The sequence below is a fragment of the Homo sapiens genome, chromosome 15, assembly GCF_000001405.40.
Source record: "Homo sapiens chromosome 15, GRCh38.p14 Primary Assembly".
Classification (NCBI taxonomy): Eukaryota; Metazoa; Chordata; class Mammalia; order Primates; family Hominidae; genus Homo; species Homo sapiens.
The window spans coordinates 44,661,084-44,676,246 of record NC_000015.10 but is presented as its reverse complement, the minus strand read 5'-3'; the positions used below and the strand labels follow the sequence as shown (position 1 = coordinate 44,676,246).

At 46.6% G+C, this 15,163-nt stretch overlaps 2 protein-coding genes across 28 annotated transcripts in view, besides 7 other annotated features; both read left to right on the top strand.

Moving 5' to 3' along the window:
* Window positions 1–10,515, top strand: part of PATL2 (PAT1 homolog 2) — a 45,659-nt gene extending 35,144 nt beyond the window's left edge. For 5 of the 20 annotated variants that reach the window (XM_011521339.4, XM_011521338.4, XM_047432230.1 and 2 more), the window contains 13 exons: window positions 556–761; window positions 2,017–2,097; window positions 2,870–3,012; window positions 3,791–3,859; window positions 4,091–4,232; window positions 6,160–6,280; window positions 6,373–6,470; window positions 6,684–6,737; window positions 6,834–6,967; window positions 7,108–7,267; window positions 7,765–7,905; window positions 9,706–9,855; window positions 10,276–10,515. In XM_011521339.4, coding sequence (XP_011519641.1) covers window positions 556–761; window positions 2,017–2,097; window positions 2,870–3,012; window positions 3,791–3,859; window positions 4,091–4,232; window positions 6,160–6,280; window positions 6,373–6,470; window positions 6,684–6,737; window positions 6,834–6,967; window positions 7,108–7,267; window positions 7,765–7,905; window positions 9,706–9,855; window positions 10,276–10,458 — 1,682 coding nt within the window. In that variant the 3' untranslated portion in view covers window positions 10,459–10,515. Of the gene's footprint in view, window positions 1–438; window positions 762–1,835; window positions 1,955–2,016; window positions 2,098–2,869; window positions 3,013–3,790; window positions 3,860–4,007; window positions 4,233–6,159; window positions 6,281–6,372; window positions 6,471–6,683; window positions 6,738–6,833; window positions 6,968–7,107; window positions 7,268–7,764; window positions 7,906–9,043; window positions 9,142–9,705; window positions 9,856–10,275 lie in introns of those variants that run through there. The other 15 variants (NM_001387261.1, NM_001387263.1, NM_001387262.1 and 12 more) reach the window with 10 other exon arrangements.
* Window positions 528–577: an enhancer, noted in NCBI's record as "active region_9347". NCBI's record gives its function as "activates an Ori minimal core promoter by ATAC-STARR-seq in GM12878 lymphoblastoid cells {active_cell/tissue: GM12878}" and the evidence as "EXISTENCE:reporter gene assay evidence [ECO:0000049][PMID:35858748]".
* Window positions 3,806–3,875: an enhancer, noted in NCBI's record as "active region_9346". NCBI's record gives its function as "activates an Ori minimal core promoter by ATAC-STARR-seq in GM12878 lymphoblastoid cells {active_cell/tissue: GM12878}" and the evidence as "EXISTENCE:reporter gene assay evidence [ECO:0000049][PMID:35858748]".
* Window positions 9,159–9,258: an enhancer, noted in NCBI's record as "active region_9345". NCBI's record gives its function as "activates an Ori minimal core promoter by ATAC-STARR-seq in GM12878 lymphoblastoid cells {active_cell/tissue: GM12878}" and the evidence as "EXISTENCE:reporter gene assay evidence [ECO:0000049][PMID:35858748]".
* Window positions 12,121–12,290: an enhancer, noted in NCBI's record as "active region_9344". NCBI's record gives its function as "activates an Ori minimal core promoter by ATAC-STARR-seq in GM12878 lymphoblastoid cells {active_cell/tissue: GM12878}" and the evidence as "EXISTENCE:reporter gene assay evidence [ECO:0000049][PMID:35858748]".
* Window positions 12,285–13,241: an enhancer, noted in NCBI's record as "NANOG-H3K27ac-H3K4me1 hESC enhancer chr15:44955204-44956160 (GRCh37/hg19 assembly coordinates)". NCBI's record gives its function as "activates a minimal SCP1, AML or CMV promoter by ChIP-STARR-seq in primed H9 embryonic stem cells {active_cell/tissue: H9 hESC(primed)}" and the evidence as "EXISTENCE:reporter gene assay evidence [ECO:0000049][PMID:30033119]".
* Window positions 12,331–12,810: an enhancer, noted in NCBI's record as "active region_9343". NCBI's record gives its function as "activates an Ori minimal core promoter by ATAC-STARR-seq in GM12878 lymphoblastoid cells {active_cell/tissue: GM12878}" and the evidence as "EXISTENCE:reporter gene assay evidence [ECO:0000049][PMID:35858748]".
* Window positions 12,585–15,163, top strand: part of SPG11 (SPG11 vesicle trafficking associated, spatacsin) — a 100,967-nt gene continuing 98,388 nt past the window's right edge. For 7 of the 8 annotated variants that reach the window (XR_001751402.2, NM_001411132.1, NM_001160227.2 and 4 more), the window contains exon 1: window positions 12,585–12,856. Coding sequence is in view for 6 of the 8 variants with exons in the window: in NM_001411132.1 (NP_001398061.1) it covers window positions 12,600–12,856 (257 nt within the window). In the remaining 2 variants the exon portion in view is untranslated. Of the gene's footprint in view, window positions 12,857–12,890; window positions 13,409–15,163 lie in introns of those variants that run through there. The other variant, XM_047433144.1, reaches the window with a different exon arrangement.
* Window positions 13,351–13,490: an enhancer, noted in NCBI's record as "active region_9342". NCBI's record gives its function as "activates an Ori minimal core promoter by ATAC-STARR-seq in GM12878 lymphoblastoid cells {active_cell/tissue: GM12878}" and the evidence as "EXISTENCE:reporter gene assay evidence [ECO:0000049][PMID:35858748]".

Genomic DNA, 15,163 nt, shown 5'->3' with positions numbered 1-15,163 from the left:
GTTAAATGAACATATGCACGTAAAGTATATGGCACACAGTAGGGTTAAATTGCAGTGAGTCAGGGCAGGTGGAACTTGTTCAAAGAGGCAATAGAAAGGGCGTTGGGTGGGGCAGAGCAGATGGAAAAGGCTGTGCTAGAACTTAATGAAGGAATTGAAGAGGGGATGTGAAAGTGAAGGTGTTTGGTATCTGCCGGGTTCCTTTTGTTTGCTTTTTAAATTTTTTACTTAGAGACAGGGTCTCACTGTGTTGCCCAGGCTGATCTCAAACTCCTGGGCCCAAATGATCTTCCCGCCTTGGCCTCCCAAGTAACTGGGACTACAGGCACGAGCCACCACACCTGGCTCAGGTTCCATTTGACTTACTGGGGGATGGTTCGGGGCACCTTGGGAGAAGGGAGGCCGAGTTAAACCCACAGAACAGGAGGCGTTATGTTCAAAGGTGGTGCTGGAGATGGCTTATGAACAGAAGTGCTATTGAGTAGCAGCCTCTCTAGACAAGACTCACAGCTGAGCCCCATCTTACCTTCTCCTCTGGCCCACACTTAAACCAAGGGCCAGGTAAGACCTGTGGCCCCTTGGCTTCTGAGGAGGAGCTGGTGTCTGCCTGCCAGTTGGAAAAAGAAGAAGAGAATGAAGGGGAGGAGGAGGAAGAGGAGGAGGACGAGGAGGATCTGGACCCAGATCTGGACCCAGACCTAGAGGAGGAAGAGAATGATCTTGGGGATCCAGCTGTACTTGGTGCTGTCCACAACACCCAGGTACCATGGCAGAAGGGAATGGGAGAGGGTTGTCCTGAACTGTCTGTGGCTCACAGGCTGTCACTAAACATTCCTCTTCTCTTTTCTACCCTTTTCTAAGACAAGTTCTGGATTAACACTTTCTTTTTAAGCCTTGAACTTGAGTTAGGGACTCTCTCCTTCCCTCTTTCTCCTGTCTCCCACTTCATTTCTGATGCTGTTCTCGCCTTAAAACCAGGTCCTAGCAGAGCTGTGCATCGCCCACAGGCGGTGGCCCTGCTACTAGCGTTAAAGGTGAGTCACGTTTGCCTGATCCTGGGCCCCTCTGTCTCAGTAGTCCATTCCTGGTATTTATTCCCCTGGATCCCATAACTAGTGGAGAAGGACAAGGACTCCTATGTAGATATGAGGTGATTTCAGAACTTCCTTCAACCTACTACTAAGGTACAGTAGTCCATGGTTTCACTTTCTGCCATTTCAGTTACCCTTGGTCAACTATAGTCTGAAAATAGGCAAGTATAGTACAATAAGGTATTTTAAGAGAGACCACATTCACATAACTTTTATTACAGTATATTGTTATAACTGTTCTATTTTTATTGTTCATTTCTTATTGTGTCTAATTCTTAAATTAAACTGGCCAGGGGCAGTGGCTTATGTCTGTAATCCCAGCACTTTGGGAGGGTTGCTAGAGGCCAGGACTTCCACACCAGCCTGGGCAACAAAGCAAGACCCTGTCGCTACAAAAAAAAAGAAAAAAAATTTTCAAAAATTAGCCAGATATGGTAGCACATGCCTGTAGTCTCAGCTACTTAGAAGTCTGAGGCAGGAGGATGGCTTGAGCTCAGGAGTTTGAGCCTGCAGTGAGCTATGATGGTGCCACTGCACTCCAGCCTGGGTGACAGAGCAAGACCCTGACTCTAAAAAAAATTTTTTTTAAATATATATATAAACTATCATAGGCATGTATATATAAGAAAAAAGCACTATACACAGGGTTTAGTACTATCCAGTTCTAGGCATCCCTTGGGGGTCTCGGAACATATATGTCTCATGAATAAGGGAGGACCACTGCACTAGTCTTATTCCTCCCAGGAGAGGGAGAGGGATCCTGGCCCAGCTGACTTTGAATCTGAGGGAGGGCCAAGCTGCCACTGCCCTGGATGTTGGAACACCTGGTCTTGCTGCTTCCTCCCACCACCTCAAAAACACAGGTGAATGCAGAAGACACTACAGGGGCCCATTTGAGCCTGGTTTTTCCTCCCTCCTGTTCCAGAGAGCTCTGCTTAGCTCCCCTGGAGTCAAGGCCCCTGGTATGCTGGGAATGTCACTTGCCTCCTTGCATTTTCTGTGGCAGGTGAGTCTGCTGCAGTCTCCATACTGTGGGTAGTGAGGATTCCATCTATTATGTTCAGTCTACCCCCAACCCTGGTCTGGAGTTAAGGCACCCAAAGTGAGGTATGGGTGTGGGAGGTGGGAGTTGCCCCATCATAGAGGAGCTTGATAAATGACAGAGGTGGTGTGCCCAAGCAGGGGCATGGATAGACACCTTAATAAGTGGTACTGGGACAACTGGCCATTTGTATGAACAAGGACAAACTAGATCCCTTACTCCTGCCTTAGGCAATCTTTCAGCAGATGGCCAGCGCTTAGCTGGAAAGAGCACCTGCCCTGCAGTTAACTGTGTAATGGGAACATGGCCTGGGGTAGAGGAATTCAAGAACCAGGATATCCTTCAGGGAGAACTAGAAGGAATTAAGAGCTCTGAGGAGGGCTTTGAGTGAGTCAGAAAAGACAGATGAGTACTGCCCCAGCGGCTGAAGACAGCCCAAGAGAAGACTATTATAGAGAGGAGGGTGAGAAGTGTTGACTTTCCAAATGGTAGGAAAAGCACATGACCCTGCATTGTCAGGGAATGAAGAGCTGCTTCCTAGTCAAGCCCTGTTGAAACAAGGGCAGGAACCATAGTCTGGTGCCCCCAAAGCTGCCTTGAGGGACTCACAAGATGGCACAATGTTGGGTGAAGTTCTTGAGGGGAAAAGGTAGGAAAGGAACTGAGCCCTCACAACAAGAGCAGCATTCTTTTGGTGGAGATGGCGTTCTCCCAGACCTCTTAATTCCTCTCTCAGACCTTGGACTACCTGTCGCCCATCCCTTTCTGGCCTACATTTCCCAGCACCAGCTCTCCAGCACAGCACTTTGGACCTCGGCTGCCCTCACCAGACCCAACTCTCTTCTGCAGCCTGCTGACCTCGTGGCCCCCTAGGTTCAGGTACTGGTTTGAGGTTCTCCCCAGAGGTCTCAGGAGGTGCTGGCTGAGGAGGGGCGGGGACCATGCCTACCAGTTGCCACAGGGAAACACAGAAAACTAGTAAGAGAAGTCTGAGGTATAGTCTAATTCCGTCTCCCTCACAAATTAGCCCCAGGGAGATTAAAAATTTATTTAAAGCCGGGTGCTGTGGCTCACACCTGTAATCCCAGCACTCTGGGAGGCCAAGGTGGGAGGATCACTTGAGGCCAGGAGTTCGAGACCAGCCTGGCCAACATGGTGAAACTGTGTCTCCACTAAATATACAAAAATTAGCTAGGCGTGGTGGCGAGCGCCTGTAATCCCAGCTACTTGGGAGGCTGAGGCAGGAAAATCACTTGAACCCAGGAGCCAGAGGTTGCAGTGAGCTGAGACCATGCCACTGCACTCCAGCCTGGATGACAGAGGGAGACTGTCTCAAAAATTAAAAATAAAAATTTATTTGCAATCAGGTAGCATGATGGAACTGAGACTACTATTCAGAACTCCTGATGACCAGGCCAAAATGTTTTCTACTGTTCCAAGATTTCCTGCAGCCAAATTGCAGGAAAATAGATGTTGGAGGAGCTTGGGAACCCTGTGGGTCTAGGACTATGATGTGCCATGTGGCTGACTTTGGGAAAGTACCTAAACAGATAAGGTTCCTTAGATGTCCATCAGAGCTGACCTGGGCTGAATGAATGGAGGGGGCAGAGAACTGAGAGCTTCCTTCCACCCAGCTCGTTACTTCTTGTCTTCCCAGTCATCTGACCCAGCTCCACCCTCGGCACCAACGAATCTTGCAGCAGCAGCAGCATAGTCAAACACCAAGGTAAAGCCCAGACCAGGAGCAGGGTTGAGGGGAGCCCATTTGCATGCCGGGTCTCCCCTTGTGACCAGTTGTCTCCCTCAAATCTCCCATGTGGTGGTTAAAACTCTCATACTGTTGCCCACCTCTGTGCTTGCTCCATCCTTCCCAGAGAGCCCCACTTCCTGCTCACCACACTCCTTAGGAAGTGCCAGTGGTGGGTAAGTCTAAAGGGTTGTTCCTCCTGGCTTAAAGTCCCCCAGCCAAGAAGCCTTGGTCTCAGCAGCCAGACCCCTATGCTAACCTCATGACCAGAAAAGAGAAGGACTGGGTGATAAAAGTGCAGATGGTGCAGCTGCAGAGTGCAAAACCCCGCCTGGATGACTACTATTACCAGGTGAGCCCCGCAGTACTCAGCCCAGCCTCTGACCTTGGGTCAAATGGGCCTGGACTCCCGGGCCCGCTCTGATCCTCTCTTCGGCTCATAGAGGTCATGTCTGTTCAGGTGGGAGAGAGAATCACTACAGGATGGGGGCCGTATTTCTAAAATTGACATCCCAAACTCATTTCTCTCTATCTTCCTACATTTCAGCCAACTAAGATTATTTCCAGTTCCCCAAACACACTTGGGTTTTGTCTCTACTCTTTGCTAAGAATTTTCCCTGTTCACCCAGGAAATATGGATTTTCCCACCTGTGTATGCTGAGAAATGTCTTGTTATATTCATCTACTTTGACTTTTTAGATCTAAAGCACAGGGATGTTATAAATAGTGGGATTCAGTTTGTTTAATTGAAAGAACGACAGCAGATATTTTTACTCATTTTCCCCTGCTTCCTTCTGCCTTTATTTATGGGGCAAGTCTTTATCCACAAGTTTTTGGGTTGTCTAGGCTGTTATCTTTCTTTTTCTTTTTTTTTTTTTGAGACAGAGTCTCCCTCTGTCATCCAGGCTGAAGTGCAGTGGCACCATCTCAGCTCACTGCCACCTCCACCTCCAGGGTTCAGGTGATTCTCCTGCCTCAGCCTCCCAAGTACCTGGGATCACAGGCATGCACCACCATACGCAGCTAATTTTTGTATTTTTAGTAGAGATGGGGTTTCACCATGTTGGATAGGCTGGTCTTGAACTTCTGACCTCAAGTGATCCACCCGCCTCGGCCTCCCAAGTGCTGAGATTACAGGCATGAGCAACCGCGCCCGGCTGGCTGTTTCACTTTCACCTCAACATCTGGGAGCCTCCCATCCAGTGCCCCATCCTTATTGCCTTCTCATTTACATTAGGTATTTTTCCTTTCTTTCCACCAAGCTTCAAAAGCCCTCCTTTTTCTGCGAGGGTCACTGAAAGTGAAATAGTTTTGTATTCTTGCCTTTTTGGCATTGCTTCTAAACAAAAGAGCCTTTTTCAAATCCTTGTTTGGCTTGTCAGTGGATTTTAGTTTAGGATTTCTCAACTTTAAGAAAATGTCAGAGCTGCTGAGCAAATCCACAGAAGTATAAAACTGGCCTAGAGGGCAACTGACAAACACTTCCCTATAGCTAGTTCTGTGCTTAAACCTCTGGATGGCCTTCATACCATCAGATAACTGATTTTTAGAAAGCACAGGTGAGATCACAAGATTAAATGGGGAAGTGGGGAGGACAGGTGGTATGCAGTGTGTGGGTACTAGAGCATGAGGAATGCAGGAAGGTTACAGACGCTGGAACAGGTTTGCTCACTGGCTCTCCACTTTGCTCTCTGACCTTTCATCAGACTTGGTGGTGGTATCTGGTCTTTAAGTATTTGGTATGTGAATTCCAAGATGGGTGATGTGGGGCCCAGGGTGCTTAAGACACTTTAGAATAACTGCAAGGAGGGCCTAAGGTGCCAGCATCATTTCTGGAATGATTGTTGTAGGAAAGAGTGTTAAGAGGCCGTGCTTGTCTGGGCACAATGGCTCGCCTGTAATCCCAGCACTTTGGGAGGCCAAGGAGGGCTGATTGCTTGAGTCCAGGAGTTCAAGACCAGCCTGAGCAACATGGTGAAATCCCACCTCTACAAAAAATACAAAAATTAGCTGGGCATGGTGGCACGTGCCTGTGGCCCCAGCTACTGAGGAGGCTGAAGTGGGAGGATCACTTGAGCCAGGGAGGTTGCAGTGAGCCAGAGATTGCGCCACTGCACTCCAGCTGGGTGACAGAGGGAGATGCTGTCTCAAACAACAAAACTTATAACACACACAAAAAAACTAAACTTAAGAGGCTGCACTTGAGAAACTTAATTCTAAATTCAAAAGATGAATATAAGGTGTTTTGTTTTTTTGTTTCCTATTCCGTGCATTCTCAGGAATATTACCAGAAGCTAGAGAAGAAGCAGGCAGACGAAGAGCTACTTGGACGAAGAAACCGGGTTGAGTCCCTCAAGCTGGTAACGCCTTACATTCCGAAGGCAGAGGCTTATGAGTCCGGTAGGGTCAGGGCTGACCTGCTGACTTGGGCTGGGCATCTGGGTGGACAGAGTGTGGGAGGGGGAAGGAAATGTGCCTCTCTTCTCATGCAGTGGTCCGAATCGAGGGTTCCCTGGGCCAGGTAGCTGTGTCGACATGCTTCAGCCCTCGCCGAGCTATTGATGCGGTACCCCATGGAACTCAAGAGCAGGTGGGAGCACTATCTTCCCAGACATTTTTCTCTCCCCTTTGGAAGAAGGGTCTAGAACATTCTTGTGTTTAAGACTGTGACCGAAGAAGGAGGAAGAAGTGTGATCAGACTTTGTTTCTAGCCTTTCCAGCTCAATCTCTAGCTAGTTGGGGGCCTGGGCTAGGGCTGTGGCAGTGGCAGTGTAGCTGATAGCTGGTGACTCCCTTCTCCTAGGATATAGAAGCTGCAAGCAGTCAGAGGCTTCGGGTATTATACCGGATTGAGAAGGTGAGATATCAGTTCCTTAGGGACGAGTTCCAAACCTACCTTTGAGAATGAGATATTACCCAAATTTACCTCTTTTTTCCACCCTCAAATTCCCAGATGTTCCTTCAGTTACTAGAAATAGAGGAAGGCTGGAAGTATAGGCCTCCACCGCCCTGCTTTTCTGAGCAGCAAAGCAACCAGGTTGAGAAGCTCTTCCAGACCTTAAAGACCCAGGAGCAGAACAACCTGGAGTGAGTGTGGGAGGGTTCCACCTCAGCCCAGGAAGGGAAGGAGCAGCAAAGACACTGGTCTTGCTTCTGCCTCTCCTTTGTGGCATGTAGCCCTCTCCTCTATGCAGAGCTCTGAAAATGTTCTCCTCTCTCCCTTGCAGAGAGGCAGCAGATGGCTTCCTGCAGGTGCTCTCTGTGAGGAAGGGGAAGGCCCTGGTGGCCCGGCTGCTCCCCTTCCTGCCCCAGGATCAGGCTGTTACCATTCTTTTGGCTATCACCCACCATCTGCCCCTCCTGGTCCGGAGGGATGTGGCTGATCAGGTACTGTGGCATTGAGTGGAGAAGAGGATGGTCTCCTGAATAGGTTAGGGGTCATTCCTCCCCTCCAGTCCCCACATGCCCCAGAGATGCCAGAGAAGGTGCTGGGCACAGCGAGGGATGCTGGCCTTGCCACCCTCAGGCAAGGAAGTTACAGAACTATTATAGGAACAGTGGATCATCTTCAGGTATGACGAACAAAAAGCAACAGGTGTATGGTTGCACAGGTGTCAGTGTGCTGAGGAGGTCTGAGTAAAAGATTAGGACGCCCTGATAAATGTTGAGCCCCTATCTACTTTTCTTAGAGAAGGATTCCTAGGACAAGTAGGTACCGAAGGTGTCAGTGTTGGGGATGGAGAGTCATAGTGGTGATAAGCCTGGTAAGTAACCTCACCAGGACGTGCCAAAGACAGGTCAGCGAGGGAAGGGACTGTGGAAGCAAGGTAAGGGGAGGTGAAGTTGTAGTGGAATTTGGGAGGTGCTTACTGATCTTCTTGCAGGCCCTACAAATGTTATTCAAACCTCTGGGCAAATGTATTAGTCACTTGACCCTCCACGAACTCCTCCAAGGACTTCAGGGATTAACGCTGTTGCCACCTGGCTCCTCAGAGCGGCCAGTCACCGTGGTGCTTCAGAATCAGGTAACATGTCTAGGAGGCTTTTTTCCATAGATGGCTTTCAGGTTGGTATCACTGATAAGGGGTAAGTTGGGGGACAGTCTCATCTCTACACAAATCTTATCCTCTGCAGTGCTTCTCTATTTCTAGTAAGCACATGATCACCTGGAAGCTTATTAAACCCAGCTCCTTGGTCCCACTCAGTCATTCAGTAGGTCTGGGGTGGGGCCCATGCACCTGCTCTGCTTTTCTAATAAGCTCCCTGATTGCTGCTGATGTGAGTCTCTAAAGCAGGTCTCCAAACTCTTGTATACCCCTTTCAGTAAAAAAATATTCTAAACCACACTACCCATGTGTTTATAAATCAAATACATGTAACACTAGTAATAATAGGTACATAATAAATATTTTCTTTTTTTATTTTTTAGATAGTCTCGCTCTGTCACCCAGGCTGGAGTACAGTGGCACGATCTTGGCTCACTGCAAGCTCTGCCTCCTGGGTTCACGCCATTCTCCTGCCTCAGCCTCCCAAGTAGCTGGGATTACAAGTGTTCGCCAACACACCCAGCTAATTTTTGTATTTTTAGTAGAGACATGGTTTCACCATGTTGGCCAGGCTGGTCTTGAACTCCTAACTTTAAGTGATTCGCCTGCCTCGGCCTCCCAAAGTGCTGGAATTACAGGCATGAGCCACTGCGCCCAGCCAATAGGTATATAATAAAAGACAGAAAATTTTAAAGAATGAGACTCTAGATGTGAAAATTTTGATGCTCTCTTCTAATATCCCAGTGGGTTATCTCATGTATGCCATACTGAAGGTCTTTGCTTAAAGAAGTGCCTCTTAAAGTGGGGTCCACAGACTACCTGCCTCAGATTCCTGGATGCATTCCCGATCTCCTACTCCTAGGAGTTAAGCCTAGAAGTATGCATTTAATCAGCTCTCCAAGAGTGTCTTTTGGAAAAGTTCAGAGCAGTGATTCCTATGGAAAGGGTTAGAGAGTTCTTTGGCTCACCAGTGTAAAACCTGACAGCACTTGTGGATATTTTGAGCTCTATCTCTAAATGTGAACCTGTCCTTTAGTTGGGAAGATAAGAGTCAGGAAAGCACCAAATGCCGAGTGTGAACTCATTTTGCTCTGGAATATATATATGTCCCTTGCAGTTTGGAATATCTTTGCTCTATGCCCTGCTGAGCCATGGGGAGCAACTGGTATCGCTGCATTCTTCCCTAGAGGAACCCAACAGTGACCATACAGCTTGGTAAGATCATAAAGGCCTTGTAAATACTATCTAGTACCCTCGGGATGTGCAGACTGAGCCAGGTGAAGTATTTCCTGAGGCATTTTCAAGTACTGAGGAAGAGGTTGGATAGAGAAAGTAGTAGCAGTGTTGTAGCTGTTCTGCTTTTTTTCTATAGTGCCCTAGAGTTTCGGTTTCTTCTAGGAGGCAGTATAACATAGTACCTAAGGGGACAAGCTTTAGATTTTAAAAAGACCTACGTTTGAATTCTGGCTGTATCACTTACTAGCAATATAACTTTAGGGCAAGTTCTTTCACTTCTCACTTCTCTTAGTTTGTTTCTTTATCTACAAACTAGGGATGATGGTATTAACCCCTCATAGTTCTTAAGATTAAATAGGAAGGGAAATGTGTAAAGCACTAAGCATTGCTTGGCACGTACCAAACATGCAAATGTTACCTCTGAATTGCTACCTGGGGGTGGGGGACAATGGTAGTAGTAACGGAAAGATAATAAGAAACCTTGGCCCTGAGTCTGTTTCTTAAGCAAATCTATTTGCTTATATTTATATTTATGCTCTCTAGGACAGACATGGTGGTTCTGATTGCCTGGGAGATAGCCCAAATGCCTACAGCCTCTCTGGCAGAACCCCTAGCTTTCCCCAGCAACCTACTTCCCCTGTTCTGTCACCACGTGGACAAACAATTGGTTCAGCAGCTGGAGGCCAGGATGGAGTAAGTAATGGCAGAAACAAGGTCAAAGCCCCTTGTTCAAGCCCAATCTATGTTCTGTTACTTGCTTCACTACTTCCTTCTTCTAAATTATGAGCATGAAGGATCATGTGTTTTTAGAAGTGGTTCTACACACTGACATTTACTGAGTAACCATTCTTGACTAAGTCTTCAGCCAACCTTTTATTCCAGGTGCTTTGGTCATTTATAGTGCTAACCTATTTGAGGGCAAGAATTAATTTAAGAACCTGAATTATTCATTCAAGAAATACTTGAGGGACAACTATTCTAGGATATAAGCATGAATAACATGGTCATCTCTGTCCTCAGAATTACTGCTAGAAAGAGTCAGATACTAATTAAATCATATAAATACTTGCAAAGTAGAATTGTGCTTGCAGTTAATATCTGTTCTCTTTATAGGTTTGCCTGGATTTACTGATCTGTTTGTTCTGGAATACGTGTATGTGGGAAGTTGAATCATCAGACACTAGCTACATAGACTATGTTTACAGGGATCCAGAGAGTCTGAAGACATTTCTTATGCCTTTATATATTGGAGAACCCTTCCCCATTTTCATATCCTTTCTTCAAAAATCTAAATGATGTGCCTAAAAATAAGACATGGCATAATAAGGTATAATTAAAGAGATAATAGAATGATGTGTTGGAACTTGCTTGTAAGTTAAAACCTGTAATGAAGGCTATCCTATGTGTGAGTGCTCCAGGAATGTCCTTTTTCTTTTTTTTTTTTTTTTTTTTTTTGAGACAGGGTCTTACTCTGTCACCCATGTGGGAGTGCAGTGCCACCATCATGGCTTACTGCAGCATTGACCTCCAGGCTCAAGTGATCCTCCCACCTCAGTCTTCTGAGTAGCTTGGATTATAGGCATGTGACACCACACCCAGCTAATATTAAAAAAAAATTTTTTTTGGCCAGGTGCAGTGGCTCATGCCTGTAATCCCAGCACTCTGGGAGGCCGAGGTGGGCAGATCACCTGAGGGTCGGGAGTTTGAGAACAGCCTGACCAACGTGAAGAAACCGCGTCTCTACTAAAAATACAAAATCAGCCAGGCATGGTGGCACACGCCTGTAATCCCAGCTACTCGGAGGCTGAGGCAGGGGAATCGCTTGAACCCAGGAGGCAGAGGTTAGAGGTTGCAGTGAGCCAAGACTGTGCCATTGCACTCCAGCCTGGACAACAAGAGCAAAACTCTCAAAAAAAATTTTTTTTGATTTTTTTTGTAGAGACAAGGGTCTCCCTATGTTGGCAAGGGTGGGCTCCAGTGATCCTCCCAACTTGGCCTCCCAAAGTGCTGGGATTTACAGGCATGAGAAGACTGTCCTGATTATAAGGGACAAGGCTTTGTTGTAGCTAACACAAGTGTAACCTTAGAAATTGCTTTAACGTTGCCATTTTTTACAGAAAGAACACAGCCCCAGCTAAGCTTAGAAGGTTGAATATATCTCCCTTGTGATAGAAAACGTTTGGTTTCAGCTGGGCACGGTGGCTCACGTCTGTAATCTTAGCACTTCCAGGCTGGGACAGGTAAATCACCGGAGGTCAGGAATTCGAAACCAGCCTGGCCAACATGGTGAAACCCCGTCTCTACTAAAATACAAAAATTTAGCTGGGTGTGGCGTGCGCCTGTAATCCCAGCTACTGGGAAGGCTGAGGCAGAATTGCTTGAGCCCAGGAGGCGGAGGTTGCAGTGAGCCGAGATCCCGCCACTGCACTCCAGCCTGAGTGACAAAGCGAGACTCCATCTCAAAAGAAAAAAAAAGTTTGCTTTTATTTTGACAAATAAGGTCATGCATTGATCAACAAATGCGGGAGTACCTTTCATGAAACATGCACTGTTTTAGGTACTAGCCAGGACAGTGGTGAGCAACAAAGTCCTTGCTCTTTTGAAGTTTACATTCTTATTGGACAGGAACTGGCAGAAAATATCAAGTAGTGATAAATACTATGATTAAAAACAAAACTAGGTGAGAGACTGCAGTAGAAGGGACCTTAGGTTGAATGGCTTGGGGAGGCCTGTCAATAGAGGTTACATTTATGCTGAAATGTTCTGAATGTGGAAGATGTGTTAAGAAGGTACAGTTGTCTTTTAGGAGACTTTACCAAAATACCTATTCAACCCCTCTTCTCACCTCAAACTCTTTGCTCCTCTCCTTCTCTTGATCTTGGATCATACTTCCCTGAGAAAACAGACAGGAGCTCTCTACCATCTCCACCCCTTACTTACCCCGTCTCTCTGACTGTTACAATGGATATTATTTGACTTCAAATTTCGGGTCAACACCCTTACTATGGATCCACACTGTAAGACGGTCCATGCTACCAAGGAAATGGCACCACCCCAGAGCCTGTAAGCGAACAGCACAATAAGAAAAGCGAAGAAAAGAGGCAGGAACTGGGTTCCAAGGGAGCTGGAGGCAGCTGGACCAAGAAGGCAAAGAGCAATGCCACAGAGCGAGAACGGCTGCAACGGCCTGCTACGCTAAGCTAGGCCTTCAAGCATGCCAGAGCAGTTAAGCAGAGTGGGACTGGCGTCAGGGCAGATGTGGCTTTGCTAGAGAGGCTGGTACTGCCCCCCACAGGAAACGAATGGAATCGACCGGAGACAGCCGAGAGGTCTCCGCGGGAGTCACGAGGCCGAGCGGGAGCCGCTACGTACACCGCGCATGCCCACGACGCAGTCAGGTTCCGGCGAAAGTGACCGGAAGTAACCGCCGGGCCAAGATGGCTGCAGAGGAAGGGGTCGCGAGTGCTGCTTCCGCCGGCGGTAGCTGGGGCACCGCGGCCATGGGGCGGGTTCTACCGATGCTGTTGGTGCCAGTCCCCGCCGAGGCGATGGGGCAGCTCGGCTCCCGGGCGCAGCTGCGCACACAGCCGGAGGCTCTGGGGAGCCTGACGGCTGCGGGCAGCCTCCAAGTGCTTTCTTTGACGCCTGGCAGCCGGGGCGGGGGTCGCTGCTGCCTGGAGGGCCCCTTCTGGCAGTAAGTGCTGAGGGAGAGTTGGGCCGTTGGGGGAGTCCAGAGCCTAGGCTCGGCTGACTGAGCCCCAAGGGCTCACGCCGAGGCCTCCCTGCAGCCATAGAGGTGGCGGGAGAAGGGTGCCAGCTGCAGGAAACGCCCCAGAGGCGAGCGTGGTTTCCTCACAGAACCTTTCCCCCGACCTGAAACGCTCGCCTCGTTGCATTCTGGCAGCCCAGCTCTCCTGTTCCGGGTGGGCGGAGACGGCACCCAGCTCCATTGCCACCTGCGGCGAACCCGGAACGGGTCTCAGCTGAGGCGCTGATTCTTTCATTATTCAACACAGGTTGATTAACTGTCACAGGGTCGAGTCCCATGCCCATTTCTTTCAGTTAAAGATGCCAGCTGAGGATCATCTCTAATTTGAATCATCCTGATACTTTTTTCATGTCCTTGAAGTGAATAGCGTTTTCTTTCACATGTAGTCCTCTTCTTCAAGGACAGAGTCCAGTTTGTCCCTTCATTTATTCAGCAAATATTGTGTGCTTGCTGTTACATAGGAGCAGTGCCTAAAAAGTTGAGTAAGACACTTCTTTCTTGCGAGGCGCGCATGTTTGGGGAAGACAAACATGATTACAATAATGCATTACTTTGTACTTCCGTAACTCTTGGTTCAGTACTTAAGAGTTTACATCATAAAGTTTGGGAACGCCCTCTTAGTGTTTTGAGTGGGCTGCTGCTTTTTTTTTTTTTTTTTTTTTTTTAAAGATAAGGTCGCTGTCGCCCAGGCTGGAGTGTAGTGGCTCAGTCACGGTTCACGGCAGCCAGCCTTGACCTCCCGGGCTCAGCCTCCCCAGCAGCTACGACTACAGGCGTGCACCACCAGGCCTGGCTAATTTTTCTAGTTTTTGTAGAGATGAGGTCTCACTGTGTTGCCTAGGCTAGTCTCAAGCTCCTGGGCTCAAGTGATCCCGCCTCTCCCTGCCAAAGTGTTGGGATTACAGGTGTGAGCCACTGAGCCTGACCTGTTCTTTTAATAATTATTAATAGTAAGTATTTTCACAACTCTTTCTTTAAGATGAGTAGCCAAAAGGTGTCTTATTAATCTTGGAATCTCCAGCTCCTCTAACAGCTCCTGACATTTAGAGATTCATTTGATACATCAGTGAATGCTTAACTCTTCTGGGTTTGTCTTCTCTACCCTTGATGTCTAGTTGCTCGAAAGAGGAATCTCTGCGTTTAGTTTATAAACTTATTATAAACTAAGTTATTTATAAACTAGTTTAGGGGAAATTAGTTTATTTAGCAGTATCAAGTACCTATGAATGTGGCTCTGTAAAGAGAGGAATGGGGCAAAGAAAAGCCGAAATCTTTAGGTGTTTGAGAACCCAGCAGGGAAGGTAAGACCGAGATGAAATAAAGGGGGCGTTCATATGCTAGTTCATGAAATTAGAGGGGAGGAGGACCAAGAAAGGACTTTTTAACTTTTTTAGTTGAATTGAATTTTAATTCAGTTAAAATACTTCATAGGTTAAAAATAAGGGCATGTTTATAGTATTTAGAGTTTACTTCCTACTTTTTCAAAGTACATAGGTCTTTTTAATATTGTTGAAATTACATCATATATCTTGTTTATTGCATTGAAAATTTCCTGTCTTTCCATGTGGCAATATTGTCCCTATGCTAATGATGTACTCTACCTTTTAAGTATATCTTAGTTTAACCTTTTGTATATTTGACATTTAGGTTATTTTCTACATTTATCAATATGAACAGTCAGAAAAATGTCTTTTTTTTACCTAATAAGGACATATTAATACTATAATAGTATAAAACTACTATAGTAGTATAAAATACATAATAGTACATAATACTATTATGTACTCTTATTAGTTTTATTACTAATTGAATTAAATCATGTATGTACCACAGTAGTTTTATATACTACTCTAGAAGTATAAAACACTACTTCTGTAGAAGCAAGTTTCTTAAAAGATGAAATTTTATCAGCATGGTATAGCCTCACCTCTTTCATTGTGTTATTTTCAAATCTGGGGCTTTTATTTGTAATGTGTAATTTAGTTTTAATATTTAATTTGAAGCTGAAACACCATCAGTCTTGCCAGTGTTGTTATTTTGACATTTCAGTTTAAGAATTCCGTAACTCTACCGTTTAGTAATGGTAGTCATTAGCTACATGTGGCTGTTAAAGTAAAAAATTTGGTTCCTCAGTTGCCCCACATTTCAAGTGTTCAGTAGCTGCATGTGGCTATTGACTACTGTATTGGGCAATGCTAATATAAAACATTTCCATCACGGAAGGTTCTATTA